The 17,748-nt window shown below is 47.8% G+C and overlaps 1 protein-coding gene across 2 annotated transcripts in view, besides 1 other annotated feature; it reads left to right on the forward strand.

Moving 5' to 3' along the window:
* Positions 466–815: a silencer, noted in NCBI's record as "silent region_15952". NCBI's record gives its function as "represses an Ori minimal core promoter by ATAC-STARR-seq in GM12878 lymphoblastoid cells {active_cell/tissue: GM12878}" and the evidence as "EXISTENCE:reporter gene assay evidence [ECO:0000049][PMID:35858748]".
* PDZD2 (PDZ domain containing 2) overlaps positions 512–17,748 on the forward strand; it is a 471,802-nt gene continuing 454,565 nt past the window's right edge. For both annotated transcript variants that reach the window (XM_005248269.5, NM_178140.4), the window contains exon 1: positions 512–818. The gene's annotated coding sequence lies outside the window, so the exon portion shown is untranslated. The remainder of the gene's footprint in view (positions 819–17,748) is intronic.

Raw genomic sequence — 17,748 nt, forward strand, 5'->3', positions numbered from 1 at the left:
GCAGCTCTGAGGTGCCAAGAGGTCCCCTCTCCCCGAAATCCTCGTACCAGTGCTAAATTACCTTTGGTATCCCAAGGACCAGAGGCTAAGGGTAGCTTGGGGTGAGTGGTTAGCTCTTCCCCCATCTCCTGTGGCCCCTCCGCCCCATTCTTTGATAAGGTAACTGACATTTTTCTCTTTGCTGTGTAAAGTGCTATGCAGAGGCAACTTCACGTCCCCTAGCTCGCTCTGTTCCACCTAGATGGCGCCCTAAGCCCCGCCTGTATGGAGATTCGGAGCAGCCATCTCCCTGGATGCCTTCCTCCCACGATCCCCAGGTTTCTGAAGCGGGCGCACCAGGACTCCTGGCTCACCCAGAGAGACGCCTTGCCCGCGGCGGGGCTCGCTCGGGGAAATCCCCGCCCACCTTGTTATTCCTGCAGGGGAATCCCCGCCCCCCGTCCCTGTCACTCGGGGAAGGGAGTTCCCGCCCCTCGAATCAACCAGGGGGAGGGAATCCCCGCCCATCCTGGAGGCTCGGCGGATCCCCTGCGCAGCGAGGCGAGGAGCGGACCCCAGCGCCGGTGCGTGCCGGCCCCGGGCAGCGGGACGCGGCGGGGCGGCGGCTGCAGGCAGCCGAGGAGCCGCAGGCCGAACCCAAGGCACCGGGATTGCGCCTCCCGCGGCTGCCGGCGAACCGCGGCTCTGCAGCTCGGGGCAGGCGCGGCGGCGGCACCGGTGGTGGCCGCGGTGGCGGCAGCTGCGCGGGGACCCGCCGGGCGGCGCCTGGGTCTGGACGCGCGAGGAAGCCGCGGGAGCCTCGGCCAAGCCGCGAGCAGGTGAAGCGACCGTCCCGCTGCAGCCGGGACGCGCGGCTCCGGGTGGGCAGGGGATGGGGGAGGCCCGGCACCCCCGAGACCGTGTGTGCCCAGGAAAGTTTAGCTACAAATCCGGGTGCGGGAATCCCAGCCCTGGCAGGGCGGGGAGTGAGGACGCCGAACCGGGGTCCCACGTTGGGCGGCGCAAACTCCTCTAGCATCCGGCCGGGGACGGGGAGGGCGCAGCCCAGGGGAGGGGGCTAGACAGAGCGGGACCGAGACAGCGGGACAACCGGAGACGCACTGCCGGGGGTACTCAAGACAGGGCCGGGACCTCCTGCTCGGGCGCGCATCCCGGGTCCCCATCCCTGGGCCGTCTTCTGGTCCCTTCCTCCGACAGGAGTGGAGGTACTCAGGTACTCCGGCCTCAGGTAATGTCTTGGGGACCATCCTCCCTCGGGCTTGTTTCATCTCTCAACCCCCGCCTCTTTGCCCAGATGAGACGTTAGACGCGGGGCGAGGGAATGCAGGGGGCGCGCAAAGATCAAGGGCATCTTAGGGCCGGTTATTGGCGTCTGCCGGGGAGATGGGGAACATAGTGATAGGGAAATCCTGCTCTCTCTCTGAAGTCGAGTTTCTCCTAAAATCTGGTTTCTCCCTCCCTCTGTTCCTCTCTCCCTCCCTCGGGTTTGCGTTTGTGTTTTAAGTCTTTGAGCTGCCTGTGGTCCCCGCTATTTGGAAAATCCATTAAAGCGCAAGGCTGAATTCAGCAGCAGGAGGGTCCAGGACCCCTGGCAGGAGTTTGCCAGAAGCTGTCCTCGGCAGCCCAAATCTATGCAGAGACCTTGATAAGGGACACTGGAGTGGGAAGAGGACAAGGTCTGGCATGGGCTGGTCGCAGAGACTGGAATGGCAGGCACGAGGGCATTCCAGAGCTCCAGACCTGCCCTGGGACTGGCCGTTGGGCAGTGTTGGGGGATGGAGCTGAGTCTGAGTCTGTCCCCTGCAGCTGGCCTAACCTCTTGCCTCCACCAAAGGTAGGGTAGGTGGATATGTTTGCCTTGACAAATCGCAATGAAACTACTGGAAGTGGTTGCTGAGTGGCTGCAGTAAGTGATGCCCTGATCTGTCCTTGCAGAGAGACCCCCTGGACCTTCAGGGCCTGTTCTCCAGTGGGGTCTCTGAACACTGGAGGGCTTTAGGGGCCTGGCATCTCTACTGGGCCAGCTTTTGTGGGTTGTGACTTCTGGGTGGTGGCCAGATAGGTACAGGTTGGCAGGTGTGAAGTGGGAGTGCTGCTTGTGGGGGCAGAAGAGAATGTCTCAGAACACACCCCTGGCTGTAGGTGGTGGTTCTGGCTTCATGAATTCCTTCTTCCATTAGGATGGGCCCAGAGCTTCTGCTCCTATAATAACCACCTAGTTGTGTGAGTGAGTGTGTGTGTTGCGGGGGTTAGGTGTAGGAGTAGGGGGGTGGCAGGTGCTAGGAGAGGAAAAATCAGAACCATGTAAAGTATATAAATGTACCTACCTTGACATAGTTAATATGCTCCTGGAAAAATATTGAATTATACTTTAAATCTATCGCTGAAATTGATTTTGCATGTACTTTATGGCAGTTTACTATTTAAGGAAACTTATGATAATTTCTCTGTTCATTTCAATCATTTTATTTTTGGAATACCTGTGGTTTGCTGTGCTGGAGGCTGAGGAGGCTTCGAGGTTCCAGGATATGCTTAGATGAAAGATGCTCCCTCGCTGCTGTCAGTTTGTCAGTTTCTGTCCAGCAGGAGAAGGGAGAGAAGCCTGCTAAGCACTATGGTGCAGACCAGTGCACATGCTGCATGTAGTAGACGCCATGTGTTTATTGGATGAAGGAGTGAAGAGATAATTAAGTGAGTAAAGTACCTGAAGAGTGGTCCAAATAAAACATTTTGGGAGTATGGAGGAAAAAGAAGTCACTTTTGCCAGAGAGGATCTGAAAGGCTTTGTGGAGGAGCTCTTAGGTAGAAGTCGAGAGGTTGATCCTGAGTTAGGACTCAGTGCTAAGGACTCAGAGGAACTAAGGACTCAGAGGAACTAAGGACTCAGAGGAACTTAGTTCTCCAGATAGTAGGGAGATGTGTGAGATATTTTTTTTTTTTGAGACTGGGTCTCATTGTTGCCCAGACTCAAGCAATCCTCCCACCTCAGCCTCCTGAGTAACTGGGATCACAGGTGTGTGTTACCACAACCAGATAATTTTTGTGTTTTTTGTGGAGATGGGTTTCACCATGTTGCTTATGCTGGTCTCGAACTCCTGGGCTCAAGTGATCCTGGTGTCTTGGTCTCCCAACGTGCTGGAATTAGAGGCATGAGTCACTGCGCCCAACCTGGCCCCTCGTTCTGCTCCTACACAACCCTTTAGCACACTCACCATGCTGCCCTGGGTGTGTTTCTTTAGGGCCTTATTTTTTTCATACCCAGATAAGGCCTGGAACAGTTGCTAATCAACTTCCTCAGGTTAGACAGGAAAAGAGGCAGAGGGAACACCCCAGACCCCACTACCCCCGGCTGATCATACTGTAGGGTGTTGTGGAAACCCTCTCCCAGAGGCTCCAGGCCTGGTGAGCTGAACAAGATAACACAGAGCTGTGGATACCCCCTTGCCTTTGATCATGTGGGCCTAAGTGACTCGGACCATGGTGGTGGGGGCATCTCTGTTGGAAGGTCTCTCCTACTGCACCATCCACAAGGGGACAAATTCCAAAGATGAACCCACAAAAGGTCAGGAGCAAATCCAAAGAGAGGCTGAATCTCTTTAAGAAGACAGACTTAGAGACTCAAGTTTTCAGCTTCTTTCTTCTGCCCTCAGACACATCCCCGCAGCACCAGGGAGGATGCTGAGGTCAGAGTTGAGTTTCAAGGACAGGAAGAGCTATGCAGACAAGCCCATGAGAGAGGTTAGCAGACAAGTGGAGAGGCAGGGATGTCTCAGAGACGCCCATCCCCAGAAGGATGATAGGAAAAGGCCACTGATAGAACAGTGTCTGCAAGGGGTGTTCATGAAGCCAGGCTGCAAGGGAAGAAGGAGACAATGATTGCCAAGACAGTGAAACTGCAGGTATAGACACTGGATCCAGAAGTGTGCTGTTTGAAAATAATCCACAGTATTTTGAGGAGGTTGTAGCATTGAAGGAGGGTTTATTCATGAGAGTCCCTCCATTCTCCCTCCCAGGCATGTTTGGTAAACAAAAGAGATGTGGGAGAGAGTAGAGAAGCTAGATCAGGGGTGTTTGGGCTGGAAGAGGTGAGCAAGTGCAGGGAAAGAACAATCCTGGCATCTGCCTTCTCTGGAAGGCCAGAGGGAAGCAGAGGTTGGTGAGGCCCTGGAGAGAATGAGGAAAACAGGGGAGGCATTTGCTGAGACCTGGGGTCACTTCGTGAAGCTGGGGCCTGGAGGAAAGGGCTGCGGTACTGCTGCCTGCCAGGGGAAGCAAACCCGGCACCTGGCACCAGTGGAGGCAGCCAGGAGGGAAAGGAAGGACTCCTGAGTTGGGGTCAGAGGCTTTGGCTGGAATCCTAGCAGTGCAGAGAACTTCCTGCTGGGCCAGATGATTAGAAATGTTGAAGCCTCCATTTGCTCATGTATAAAATTGATGCAGTCGCTACTTCACAGGGTTGTTCTTAGGAGGAATCGAAAGAGGTACTAAGGTGTGTTTGGAAGGCCCTCCATGACCGCATCTGCTGTATAGGGGGTCCTTTCGAACAGTGTGTCCAGAAATGCATAAACCTCTCACCAAAGTCAGTGAGAGCCCAGTGGAATGGAGAAGGCAGGAGTTTTTAGCAGACTTGCCTGAAGCTTTCTTTCAGCTGTGGATGAAAAGTTTTGGACTACTCTGAGCAGTTGGGTCTCCCTGTTTGCACCTTGACAAATCCTTCAAGATTTCTGCCTTTTAATCCATTGGCTTGTTGCAGTGCTGCGTCTAAATTTAATGTCCCTCTCTTTTGCAAAGATCCAGTTACCAGGTGCAAGGCAGGAAGAGGCTGGACAGTCTCCTCTGTCCTCCATGGTTTGGAAGGGCATCATGCACTCACACTCGGTAACACCTGCATTTGAGGAAGCTAAGGCCCAGAAAAACAGAGAACTTGCCCCATTAGACAACCAGAACTAGAGTCACAAAACACAGTTGCTTGATCTGGGGAACTCTTGTCTTTCAATAGCAGTGGTGTTGGCCAAGATGCAGGTGGCTGAGGAAGAATTAAAAATCTGCAATCCCCCTTGGTTTTATTAATGGGTCTTTGATTATAGTTGAAAAGATGAAAAAACAGTCTCACTTATTAGTGAAGCGGGAAAGAAAAGGAGCATTTGACTTACTAAACACTAAGTAGATATGTGCCAAATTAAATGAAATTGGGGAAAATGTGAATAATTTTTTTTTTTTTTGAGACAGGGTCTCACTCTGTCACCCAGGCTGCAGTGGCATGACCACGGCTCACAGCAGCCTTGACCTCCCCGGCTCCAGTGATCCTTCCACCTCAGCCTCCCAAGTAGCTGGGAAGCTGGGACTACAGACACCACCGCACCTGGCTAATTTATTATTTTTTAAAAATTTTTTGTAGAGATGGGGTTTTACCATGTTGCCCAGGCTGGTATCAAACTCCTGGGCTCAAGCGATCCACCCACCTCAGCCTCCCAAAGTGCTGGGATTATAGGCATTGAAGAATGTTTTTTAAGGAAATTAAAGTATAGAATTATCTGGAAAATTTTCTGAAATTATTCCTTATTTTCCAACCGGATGGTCTATGTCTAGATTTGGACCTATGCATCGGTTGCATATAAAAGGATAGATCTTTTTATGGTATCTAGAAATTTGACAATCTTGATCTCCTATTATCCATACTTTAGAAATAGAGAAAAGATGGAATTGGAAAAGAATACATTTCCCATGGGTTCTAGCGGGGAGTGTTTGAAGCCAGGTAGGTCATCTGATTCAGTCTGATTGTCTGAGAGCTAAAGAGTTCTGCCTTCTATTTACAAATGTGTTCAAGAAGACACTGGGAGCATTTACAATTTGAAAACTTAATAGTTGAAGAGGCCTTTTGTGGTCTGATAAGGCGGCTGAGCCGAGAGATGGTTTGTTAAGACACTAAGCATGCGGAGAAGACACATTTGTCTTTTAAGCCTCTCCAGCTCCAGGAAGAGGCCTACCCCCGGCCGTGGCTTCTCTCCAATGCCAGTAGTGTGTTCACCCCACACTCTTGATGGGGCCAGCAAACAGTCTCCATTCTGAAAGTTCTGGCTGCTCCATGCATGCATTCCCTACCAGAATGCGTTCTGAGTGAATAATGAGTGGTCTATGAACTTCCAGAAAATCAGAAACTTAAGATTCTCAACTCTCTTTATGAAGCCATTGAATGAAACCAGATAGCATTGAACACCTGGTTGACAAAGTTATTCTTGGATTATATGTTTTTATATACAGTGTTTCTGGGGCTCATCAAGCCCTCTAGGTAGGAGGCCTGAAGAGGTTTTGGAGAAGCAGCATTGGGGGAACCGACTTCACAGCACAGAGGATTAATTTTGCACACACAATTGTTGCGAGCTCTGAATGAAATAATAGCAAGGAGATGGGGGAAGTTTTGTTGTCTTTTAAGTCTAAGAAGCAGCCTGAAATGCCTAGATATCCACAGGAGGATTTAAAAAATCACAAATTCTTAAGGATCTGCAAGTCCTTGAAAGGGCATTATCCAATCTCTTGCCTTCAGGGAGGAATAAACTTAGCTCATTCCAGTTAAGGATCTATGGTTTTAACAGCTTCCTGAGGAAGGGGCGTCCATGGCATATTTGGCCCTTAACACAGTGATGCCCCAGACTGGTTCTTTGAGGTGTTTTAGCAGGAGTCGAAATGGATTTCAGAGGGGTTACTCTTGGTCTCTTTTTTTTTTTTTTTTTTTTTGAGACGGAGTCTTGCTCTGTCGCCCTGCCTGGAGTGCAGTGGCGCGATCTTGGCTCACTGCAACCTCTGCCTCCCAGGTTCAAGTGATTCTCCTCCCTCAGCCTCCTGAGTAGCTGGGACTACAGGTGCGTGCCACCACACCCAGCTAATTTTTGTATTTTTAGTAGAGACGTGGTTTCACCATGTTGGCCAGGATGGTCTTGATCTCTTGATCTTGTGATCCGCCTGCCTTGGCCTCCCGAGGTGCTGAGATTACAGGCGTGAGCCGCTGTGCCCGGCTGGTCTCATTTTTACCAACACTTGGACACCTCTAGTACTTGGCTTTACAAGCCCTAGACTTTATCATCCAAGTTAACACAACAGACCCTGTTGTCCTGGCCTCAGGACAGCCATCATCCTGCTTGGCTAAAAATAAAGGCAGCACTCATATAGTGTAGAATTAGTATTCCTACCGTGAGCAGGGGCACGCTTTGTGCTGTGGCTACCCCAAAGTCAATTCCCTGGCTGGGACCTGCCAGCTCAGGCAGTGGGAGTTGTACTGGGAGGAGGGTGGGAGAGATGGTAAGTTTGGATCTCAGTGTACTCAGTAGGGGGAAGGGGGTGGGGAACTGGGCTGCCTTACATGGGAGGCCTCCGGGCATCCCCAGGCAGCTGGTGGGAGGAGAGAGGGTGTCAGGGAGCTTTGCACTGCGGGGGGGCCTTCTCACTACTGTCACTCCTAGGGAGATCTCAGGATACCTAGGCGGAAGAAAATAAACACCAACTCTTTTGTCCCTTTCACCAAAGGCCAGCATGTTTCCGATGCCTGTCTAAGGTGAACCTGGCTTGTCCTGTTTACACGTCCTGGGATGTTACTGTAATTCCAGTATTCCAGAAGACTCTGTTTCTGGAGACTGGAGAGGCAAGTGTATTTTGGGGTAGCCATAATATCTTGGGTTGGTGGGTACAAGTTTGAACACCTAGTAATGCCCCTTACCCCTGAGGAATTCCAGGGACTGAGCCACCACAAATGTCTTCAGGAACCTGACCCCTCCACGTCATGAACACTAAGTAGCTCCTGACACTGCTTATGTTTGCTTGCAGGTGATCAAATGGAATCATACACTCTCTCCAAGAGCACGAAGGTTTCTTTTTCTTTTTCTGTTTAATAAAGCAAGATGTCAATAAACTCTACATTTTTGTGTGTTGGCCAATGGACACTTATAAAATGTCTGATTTCAGCTGTGTTTTCAGTTGAACACCCCCCACCACCCGCCCAACACCCTCTTTCTGGCACAGTGTGTTTTATGGAGATTTGGGTAAAACTAGATTGTGCTATATGGGTCTCCTGATGAAGAGAATTCACTTCCAAGGCTAAAGCAGCCATGCAAATATTATTACAAAACCACTCAGCATACAAAATTGGCATAGCTTTCCTCCACAGTTTGCCACTGCCCACTCTCCACTCCTACCCCGCCCTGGCCACCTTAATTCCCAGTATCATTAGGCCGAAAGAAGGGACAGCTGTCTCCAGAAAATGTGCTCCGAGTGTCCCCATCAGCGTGGATTCCCAAGAGAGAGCAGGCAGTGAGATGGCACAAGGAGAGGAAGGTACTGGAAAGAATTGCATTAACTCCTCTCTGGACTTACTGCTCATCTTTAAAAACCTAAGCAGATGTCAGGCTTATTGATTTCTTTATTGGTGGCAGCTGTGGAGCTGCAGTCCACTATTTTTGGCACCTGGGAGATGCACACGGCCCCTGAGCACACTTCCCGCCTTCTGATCCCTCACCTGCTCAGCTTCCCAGGCTCCGTCTTTATCTTGAGGATCTCTGAAGACTGCCTCTTCCCCTGTACTCTTCAGGATCCAGTACAATGCCTAGTACATGGGTAAAAATTAAAATTATTTGAATGTTCACTATTTGGCAGGCACTGTTCTAGACACTTGCCACATACAGCTCATTCAGTTCTCATAATCTGATGAGGTACATACTGTTATTACCCCATATTCATTTCCTGGGGCTGCCGTCAGAAATTAGCACAAACTTGTTGTCTTAAAACAACTGAAATTTATCCTCTCACAGTATCCTCTTCACAGGTCCGAAGTCTGAAATCAAGGTGTTGACAGGGCCGTGCTCCTTCTGGAAGCTCTAGGGGAGAATCCTTCCCTGCCTCTTGCAGCTTCTGGGAGCTGTGGACATTCCTTGCACTGCTTCAGCCCAGTCTATGCCTTTGTCTTCACGTTGCTTTGTCTGTGTGTCTGTGTCTTCTCTCTTGTCTGCATGTCTCTACTTTGTGTGTCTCATTTATAAGGACATTTGTCATTGGAGTTAGGGCTACCCAAATAATTCAGGATGATTCCAACTTGAGATTTTTAATTTAATTACATCTGCAGAGACACTTTTGCCAAATGAGGACACATTTGCAGGTTTTGGGATGTGGGTATATCTTTTGGGGAGCTACTATTCAACACAGTACAACCCCTTTTGTGATGGAAAAATGGTGATACATTGTGGTTACGGAATTCTCTGAGGTTGCACAGCCAGGAGTTGGTAGAATTGGAATTTACACACAGCAGCCTGGCTCTAGAGCTTGCATATGGACCACTACTCTCTTTTGCCTTTTAGTAAATGTGCTCCGTGATTGTTCACGGTATGAATGGAGGGCAGCATGGCTGGGGAAATAGATGGATGAAAAGATGCTGGTAACAGTAGTTGGCCAACATTCTCCTTCTCAATGTACTGAAAATAGTAACAACAACTGATATTCATTGTTTTATGCTCTTGACCTGGGACTCGTCCTTGGATCCTCTTTTTTGGCTATTCTAGGGAGAGCTCAACTATCTCGAGGCATTGCCTACCATTTATGCACTTCTGCCTTCCAAATTTATGTCCATAGCCTTGATTTCTCTGCTGTGTTCCAGACTCATGTGCCCCACTGCCCCCTTACCATTCCAGTGGGGGCGTTATAGGGATCTCTAACCTAACACAACAAAATGCAATCCTTGATATGTCTCTTTCAAGCTAGTTCTTTCCTTCTCCTCCTCCCGTCTCAGTAAATGGCACCACCATCCACCCAAAGGCTCATTCCCAAAACTAGAAACCACTCTTCATTCTCTTTTCCCGACACTCTGTATCCAAATCCAGGAATAAGTCCTGTTGGCCCCACCTCCAGCCTCCACCTTGTTCTCCCGCCTCCACAGCAGCCGCCCTTGTTAAAATCACTGCCATCTCACCCCTGGACCCATGCTGCAGTCATCTTCTAACCGGGCCACCTGAGGACACCCTTGACCCCAGTCCTTTTCCTCCGAGCAGCCAGAGGGGTCTTTTATTTTTTTAAGACTTTTTTTTTTTTAATATAGCAATTTTAGGTTCACAGCCAAATTGAGAAGAAATTACAGAGATTTCCTGTATACCTCTTGCCCCTACACATGCAGAGCCTCCACTCTCATCAACATCCTTCACCACATAGTTCATTTGTTACAGTCGATGAACCTGTGTTGGAACATCGTTATCCCTCGAGTCCATAGTTTACCTTAGGGGTTCACTCTTACATTCTATGGGTTTGGATAAATGTATAATGTCATGGGTTTGGATAATGTGTAATGTCATGTATCCACCATTATATTATATGAGTAGTTTCACTGGCCTAAAAATCTTCTGTGCTCTGACTCCTATTCATCCCTCCTGCCCCCCAACCCAGAGGGGTTTTTTTGTTTGTTTTTTTAAGAGATGGGGTCTCACTGTGTCGTGCAGGCTGGTCTCAAACTCCTGGGCCCAAGCGGTCCACCCGCTTTGGCCTCCCAGAGTTCTGGGATTACAGACATGAGCCACTGTGCCCGGCCAGAGGGGTCGTTTAAAAACACAAGTCGTATCACTCCCTGGCTTAAAACTGGACATTTCTCGTTGCCATTTCAGTGTGATTCAGGCTCCTTGCCCCAGTCCACCTCTCCTATGACTCCTTCTCTTAGCACTCATTGCCCTCACTCCATGCCTGACATGCTGTACTTCTTTCAGTTTTGGAACACACCAAGTTCCGTCCCATATCAGAGCTCTTTTTCTGCTTGGAAACATCTTCCCCCAGATCTTCACAAGAACATATGATCTAACAGGAAACAGGACCACCCCCAGGTACTCTATCACATGACTCCTGTTTGAAATAAAATATTTGATTTATTCATTTATTATCTGTCTTAGCTGTTGGATCATACGCTCCATTAAAGCAAAGAACTAGTTTGTGTATCTCACATGCTGAAAATAGTTCCTATTTCTGCCTTTCCTTTAAGGTTTCAAGGAAGAGGGTTTAAAATATCAAGTCTCGGCTGGGCGCGGCAGCGCATGCCTGTAATCCCAGCACTCTGGGAGGCCAAGGCAGGCAGATCACGAGGTCAGGAGTCCAAGACCAGACCAGCCTGGTCAATATGGTGAAACCGCGTCTCTACTAAAAATATAAAAATTAGCCAGGCATGGTGGCGCGCGCCTATAGTCCCAGCTACTCAGGAGGCTGAGGCAGGAGAACCGCTTGAACCCGGGAGGCGGAGGTTGCAGTAAGCCGAGATCACACCACTGCACTCCAGCCTGGGCGACAGAGTGAGACTCCGTCTCAAAAAAAAAAAAAAAAAAAAAAAAAAATTAAGTCTCAGGGCAAATCGGAAAAAATCTTGAGCCTCAAAGTAGAGAAAAAGAAATGATATTCTTAGTGTCTCAAGATTAAGTCCCAGGCCAACTAGAGAAATAGTACATTGGGAATCTGAGTGAGTATATTTCTTCCCTCTGTTAATAATCTGAGTGAGTATATTTCTTCCCTGTGTTAACAATCTGTGTCCTGGGTTTATGAGCAGGAAAATGAATTATCCAATAGACACTCAATAAATGTCTGTTGAACAAGTCAAGCACTTAAAGCATTTCAGGCACTGTTCCCAGTTATCCTTATTTTTCAGATGAGGAAACAGAGGCTTGGAAAGGCTAAGTGACTTGACTGAGGTTGCATATCTATTAAGAGTTGGAGCAAGAATTTGAATCCAGATCTCTCTGTCTACTAAGCCCCTATTCCCAACCACGATTCCATACAGAATCTCTGAGAAGCAGGAACTGCCTGGGATCCCTAAAGTCTCTACAGAGCCCTGAGTTTACTAATTCATTTTCCCGCTCATAAACCCAGGACACAGATTGTTAACACACAGGGAAGAAATATACTCACCCAGATTCCCAGTGTACTACTTCTCTGAAAAGTTGGCCTGGGACTTAATCTTGAGAAGCTAAGAAGTTCATTTCTCTTCTTCTCCACTTTAGGAGTTTCAGGCTCAAGACTTTTTCTGATCTTTCTTGCAACTTGATGGTTTAAACCCTCTTCTTTGAACCCTTAAAGGGAAGGCAGAGATGACCAGGTTGAGTCCTTATATGCAAAGGTAGAATTTTTCTGTAATCAGAAAAAGCTCTGAGGTCTTCCTCCTCCTGATGTTCCTTACACATGAAGACTTTTATGTAGTTTGGTCTTTTCGGCCTCCGCGTTTCTTCCTAGCTGATAAGAGCCCTAGGGTGAGAGCATGGACTCCATTTTCAGATTGGCTATTAGCGAGAACCTCTCCATTGAGTCTTGCTAAAAGACTGGTCCATTTCTTGGTCACTAGCTTTGAGCCAGTCATGAAAGAAGACAAAGGACAGGTTCTTGCCAGGTGTAGGGCTCAAAGTTTGCAGACTAGGGAGAATGAGAAATCACCTATTCATCTCTTTCCCTGTTGTTGGACCTCCTTTTAAAAATAACTTCTATCTTGAGAATTACATCAGCATCCCGTAAGTAAACTTGGACAAAATACTACTATTTCGGGCAAACAGTAATTGTGAGGATGTCCAAGACCCGTAACTGTAGGTTGGGCTTTTATTCATAGAAAGGTCTATAGTGGCTAATTTTTAGTGTATCTGGCAAATATAGCTGCTCTCCTGCAGAAAGGTAGAACTCTGGCCATTTGATGTATCATGCACTTCACCTCTGCTGTCATGAGTGGGATTTGCTATGGTAACCAGAACTTTGCCCGAGGATTGTGCATGTAAGGTGTCACTCATTGGTAGTACTCTTTATTTTTAGCATAAACCAAAGAGGAGCTGCTCATTGTTCCTGCTAACATGCAGGTGGGTAGTCACAGTGGAGCCTGGGAAGAATTGTATGTGCTGTTCTCATGGGGAATGTCACCACCCACCACAGTTCTCATTTGTTGGAGCAAGATGTGCTTCTGGATTTCCGTTGGTTAAAATCTGTGCTGAAAGTTGTGCGCTAGGATAGTTGGACTTGCTTTATTTATTTATTTATTTATTTTTTTGAGATAAGATCTCCCTCTGTTGCCCAGGCTGGAGTGCAGTGGCATGATCTCGGCTCACTGCAGCCTCAACCTCCCAGGCTCAAGTGATTCTCCCACCTCAGCCTCCTGAGTAGCTGGGACTATAGTATGCACCACCATGCCTGGCTAATTTTTTTGTTTGTTTGTTTTTGTTTGTTTGTTTGTTTTGAGATGGTGTCTTGCTCTGTCACCCAGGCTGGAGTGTAGTGATGCAATCTTGGCTCACTGGAACTTCCACCCTCTCTGGGTTCAAGCAATTTTCCTGTCTCAGCCTCCTGAATAGCTGGGATTATAGGTGCGCACCACCATGCCCGGCTAATTTTTGTATTTTTTTTTTTTTTTTTTAGTAGAGACAGGGTTTCACCATGTTGGCCAGGCTGGTCTCGAACTCCCGACCTTGTGATCCGCTCGCCTTGGCCTCCCAAGATGTTAGGATAATAGGCATGAGCCACTGCGTCTGGCCTGGGTTTTTTTTTGTTTTTTGTTTGTTTGTTTGTTTGTTTGTTTTAGAGACAGTGTCTTGCCATGTTACCCAGGCTGGTCTTGAACTCCTGAGCTCAAGTGATCCTTCCGCCTTGGCTTCCCAAAGTGACAGGATTACAGGTGTGAGCCACCGCCCTGGGTCTGGACTTGATATTTTAAATAACTCTTTCTCAACTGCTCCTCCCCATCTTCATCTTAGCATAGCATGTAAGGTTTGCCAACAATGGCGGTCCTGCAGATAGGAGATGGGTGCTTTCCATAAAGCCACTGGAAACTATGAAAGCTCAGCAAACATTTGAAGGAGGTAGTATTATCTTCTCAACATGACACTCATTTCTTTCCGAGTGCTTATACTTTGTCCTCACTGCCCCCAAATCAACTTTTTTCCTTTTTTCATCCAACTAATGTTTATTTAGCACATGCCACATAGAGAAAAGATATATATACTTCATATTCTCAGTACAGGGAATAAAAATAAAATTCAGTTTGCCTTGAATTATCAATTGCATCAAATTGTTTGGCTGTCTTCCGGACCAGAGGGAGGAAAAATGGTGAAAACATTGCTTCAAGAACATAGTGGCCAGGCGCAGTGGCTCACGCCTGTAATCCCAGCACTTTGGGAGGCCAAGGCAGGCGGATCACTTGAGGTCAGGAGTTCGAGACCAGCCTGGCCAACATGGTGAAACCCCACTTCTGCTAAAAATACAGAAAAGTAGCTGGGCATGGTGGTACACGCCTGTAGTCTCAGCTGCTTGGGAGGCTGAGGTGGGAGAATCGCTTGAACCTGGGAGGCGGAGGTTTCAGTGAGCCGAGATCGTGCCATTGAATGCCACCCTGGGTGACAGAGTGAGACTTCATCTCAAAAAAAAAGACCAAAAAACAAACAAAAAAACACGGTGAGCCTCCTGAACCTCACTTTTGCTGGTGACTTGGAACTGGCTGGGATCTCCCGTGGCATATTTGCTGATAGATATGTATATCTAGGACCGAGTGAATCTGGAGCCATGTAACACTGTACTCCATCACCTGTGAGTTTGGTTGAGGATGCAAACTAGTCCAAAGTGAAGCTGCAGTTCTTTTATCAGTTGATATCAGCTGTGGGGCAGAAACACTAGACTGGAAGGTTCTTCCAGGCACAGACTATATCCTGTTTGATGCTGTGACTCAAGTACCTAGTGCAGTGCGTGTACTATAATAGGCCCTTCATGAAGGTTTTTTAATGAGTGAGATTAGCATCAGATTGGCACGTCTGGGTGGGAGAGAAGAACCTGGGTTATACGTCAGGTCCTACTTATAAGGAATCCATGAAGATCCCCATAGTCTGAAATAGTCCTGTCCTTCAAAAACATATAATCTAATGTGAGAGGGAGGACCTCTGAGGCAGCGCTAGTTATGACTTAGGATGTATGGGAAGATGAATCTTCTGATGAAAGCATCTTAAGAATTATCCTAACATCACCAGTTTTCTTTTCAAATGGAAAGATTTCACTTTACACACTGATCATTTTAGATGATTTCATAAACTGTCACACGTGCAGCCCAATTCATTCATTCAGTAAATCAGATCTTTATTTGACACCTACTATGTGGTACCCCCTTAGATTCTAGTAGGGAAGACAGACATTCAGTATATGTTTTTTGTTTGTTTGTTTGAGACAGAGTCTCACTCTGTCACTCAGGCTGGAGTGCAGTGGCGCGATCTCAGCTCACTGCAACCTCCACCTCCCAGGTTCAAGCGATTCTCCTGCCTCAGCCTCCCGAGTAGCTGGGATTACAGGCGCCCGCCACCACACTCAGCTAATTTTTTATATTTTTAGTAGAGACGGGGTTTCACCGTGTTAGCCAGTATGGTCTCGATCTCCTGACCTTGTGATACGCCCACGTTGGCCTCCCAAAGTGCTGGGATTACAGGCGTGGGCCACCGCGCCTGGCCCCAATATATGTTTTAAGCTGAGTCCAGAACATGACCCCATAGAGAAGTGGTTCTCCACGCCAATGCACATTAGAAACTGCTCCTATCGTTGTTGTGAATGACATCCATGCCAAGGATCAATTCTGAGCCTTTTACTTGATCCCTCAAAGCATTTGACACACACACAGGTCATCCCTCCCTTATCATTGAAACACTCCTTACCTTGGCTCTCTGGATACCACACTCTTCAGGTGTTCCTCCTGGTGCCGCAGGAGCATTCCTTCCTAGGTTTCTAGGCTGCCTCCTCTTCCTCCTGACCTCTTAATAATGCTGGAGGGCCCAGGACTCAATGGTTGCACTTCCTGTCTTTTCTCTCTGTGATTCCTGTCTGCGATGTCTGTCATCCTGATGGCTTTAAATGTTATCCGTAAGCCGAGAACTCCCACCGATCTTATCTCCATCCTGTACTCCTTGCATGTATAATTATCTACTTGACCCTCCTGCTGAAGGGTCATCTCAAACTTTAACATCTGAAACTGAATTCTGATTCCCACCCTGCCCCTTCCAGATGCTTCATCTCTTGTTCGCTCTTTAAAAATCATTCTTTAGAATACAGGCATTGCTCCTCACTTCTCCCCTCATGGAAGCTACACTCATCTCTCAATTGGGCTATTTTAGGAATCTCCCAGTTGCTGTTGTTCCCTTTCCTCCTCATAGTCTATTCTCAACAGAGCAGGCAGAAAGATTCTAGTAACATGGAAATCATATCCTGTCAGTTCTCTGCCCAAACCTTCCCAGGAGCTTCCCATCTCACTCAGAGGAAAAGTAAAACTCATTACATAGCCCACCAGACCCTTGGTGGGTTCTCCCCTCCCCTTGCCCTTCCTGTTCTGATTTCATCTCTTGCATCTGTCCCAGGGCCATTGCACCTGCTATTCCCTCTGCCTGGAATGCTCTTCCTTCATGTAGCAGACTCTCCCTCACTTCCTTCAGGTCTGATTCAAATGTCACCATCAGTGGAGTCTTCCGTGCTACCCTACACTAGCCCATGGCTTCATATCCCTCTTCTCAGCTTTATTTTCTCCATTGCACATTATCAGATTTTTGTTTTGTTTTTGTTTTTGTTTTGAGACAGAGTCTCACTCTGTCACCCAGGCTGGAGTGCAGTGGCGCAATCTCAGCTCACTGCAACCTCTGCCTCCCGGGTTCAAGCGATTCTCCTGCCTCAGCCTCCTGAGTAGCTGAGATTACAGATGCACACCACCACGCCCAGCTAATTTTCTGTATTTTTAGTAGAGACGGGGTTTCACCATGTTGGTCAGGCTGGTCTTGAACTCCTGACCTCATGATCTGCCCTCCTGGCCTCCCAAAGCGCGGGGATTACAGGCACGAGCCACTGCGCCCGGCCTAGTTTTTTAATATATCATATATTTTACTGACGTAATTTGCTTCTCTGCCTGCTTCTCGCCATTACCATGTAAAATCTATGAGGGTATTTTTTTTTTTTTAGAAGGTGGTGTCTATTTGGTTCATTGATGTATCATCAACACTTAGAACAATACTTGGCTTATAGCAGGCACTCAGAAAATACTTGTCGAGAAAGTGAATCAGAATCATTGGTATTTTTCATTTAAACACTGATGCCCCAGGGAGGGTGATTTAATTGGTATGAGGTATAGCCCAAGCACTGGTATTTTTTGAAGACTCCCCAGGTGATTCTAAAGTGAAGCCAGCATTGCAAACCACTGCCTTCCAGATCTGAACTCTGTTGTTTTTCTCCTTTTAAGGACTTTGCCTCTGTGGCATATGTTGTTGCATTCTTAGAAAATCCATTAGTCTCAAAACTTAAATTGCAGTGGATGGTAGAAAGGAAGTTTGTGTTGTGTGTGATAGCATATTAGGGTTTAAATTGGATCATCTCATTAGAGTGGTTGGAGTGGACATTCTTCCATTTATGAAACCTAGGCTGAACTTCGATGCACAGGCATAGACCCCATGCTGCAGAGTCGAGTGTGTTCTTTGTTAATTTCCCAGTTGAGCATCCGACTTTTGTCTCTACGTTCAAAGAGAGAGAGGGGGTTTGAATCTGGCTAATTATAAACTTCATTTGCTCAAATGGGCTATGCGCATGTATTCCATACTCCCACCCAGAATGTTCACCTGCCCACCTGCCCACTACTTAAATTCTGTCCATCTCTGAATGCCCAGGGAAAGTCTCATTCCCTTTGAAAAGCCTTCCCCGCCTTCCCTGGCTGGCAGCCTCCCCCGGAACACCTGGCATTTTTACTTGCTACCTAGCACATGT

The sequence above is a fragment of the Homo sapiens genome, chromosome 5 (genome assembly GCF_000001405.40).
Source record: "Homo sapiens chromosome 5, GRCh38.p14 Primary Assembly".
Lineage (NCBI taxonomy): Eukaryota > Metazoa > Chordata > Mammalia > Primates > Hominidae > Homo > Homo sapiens.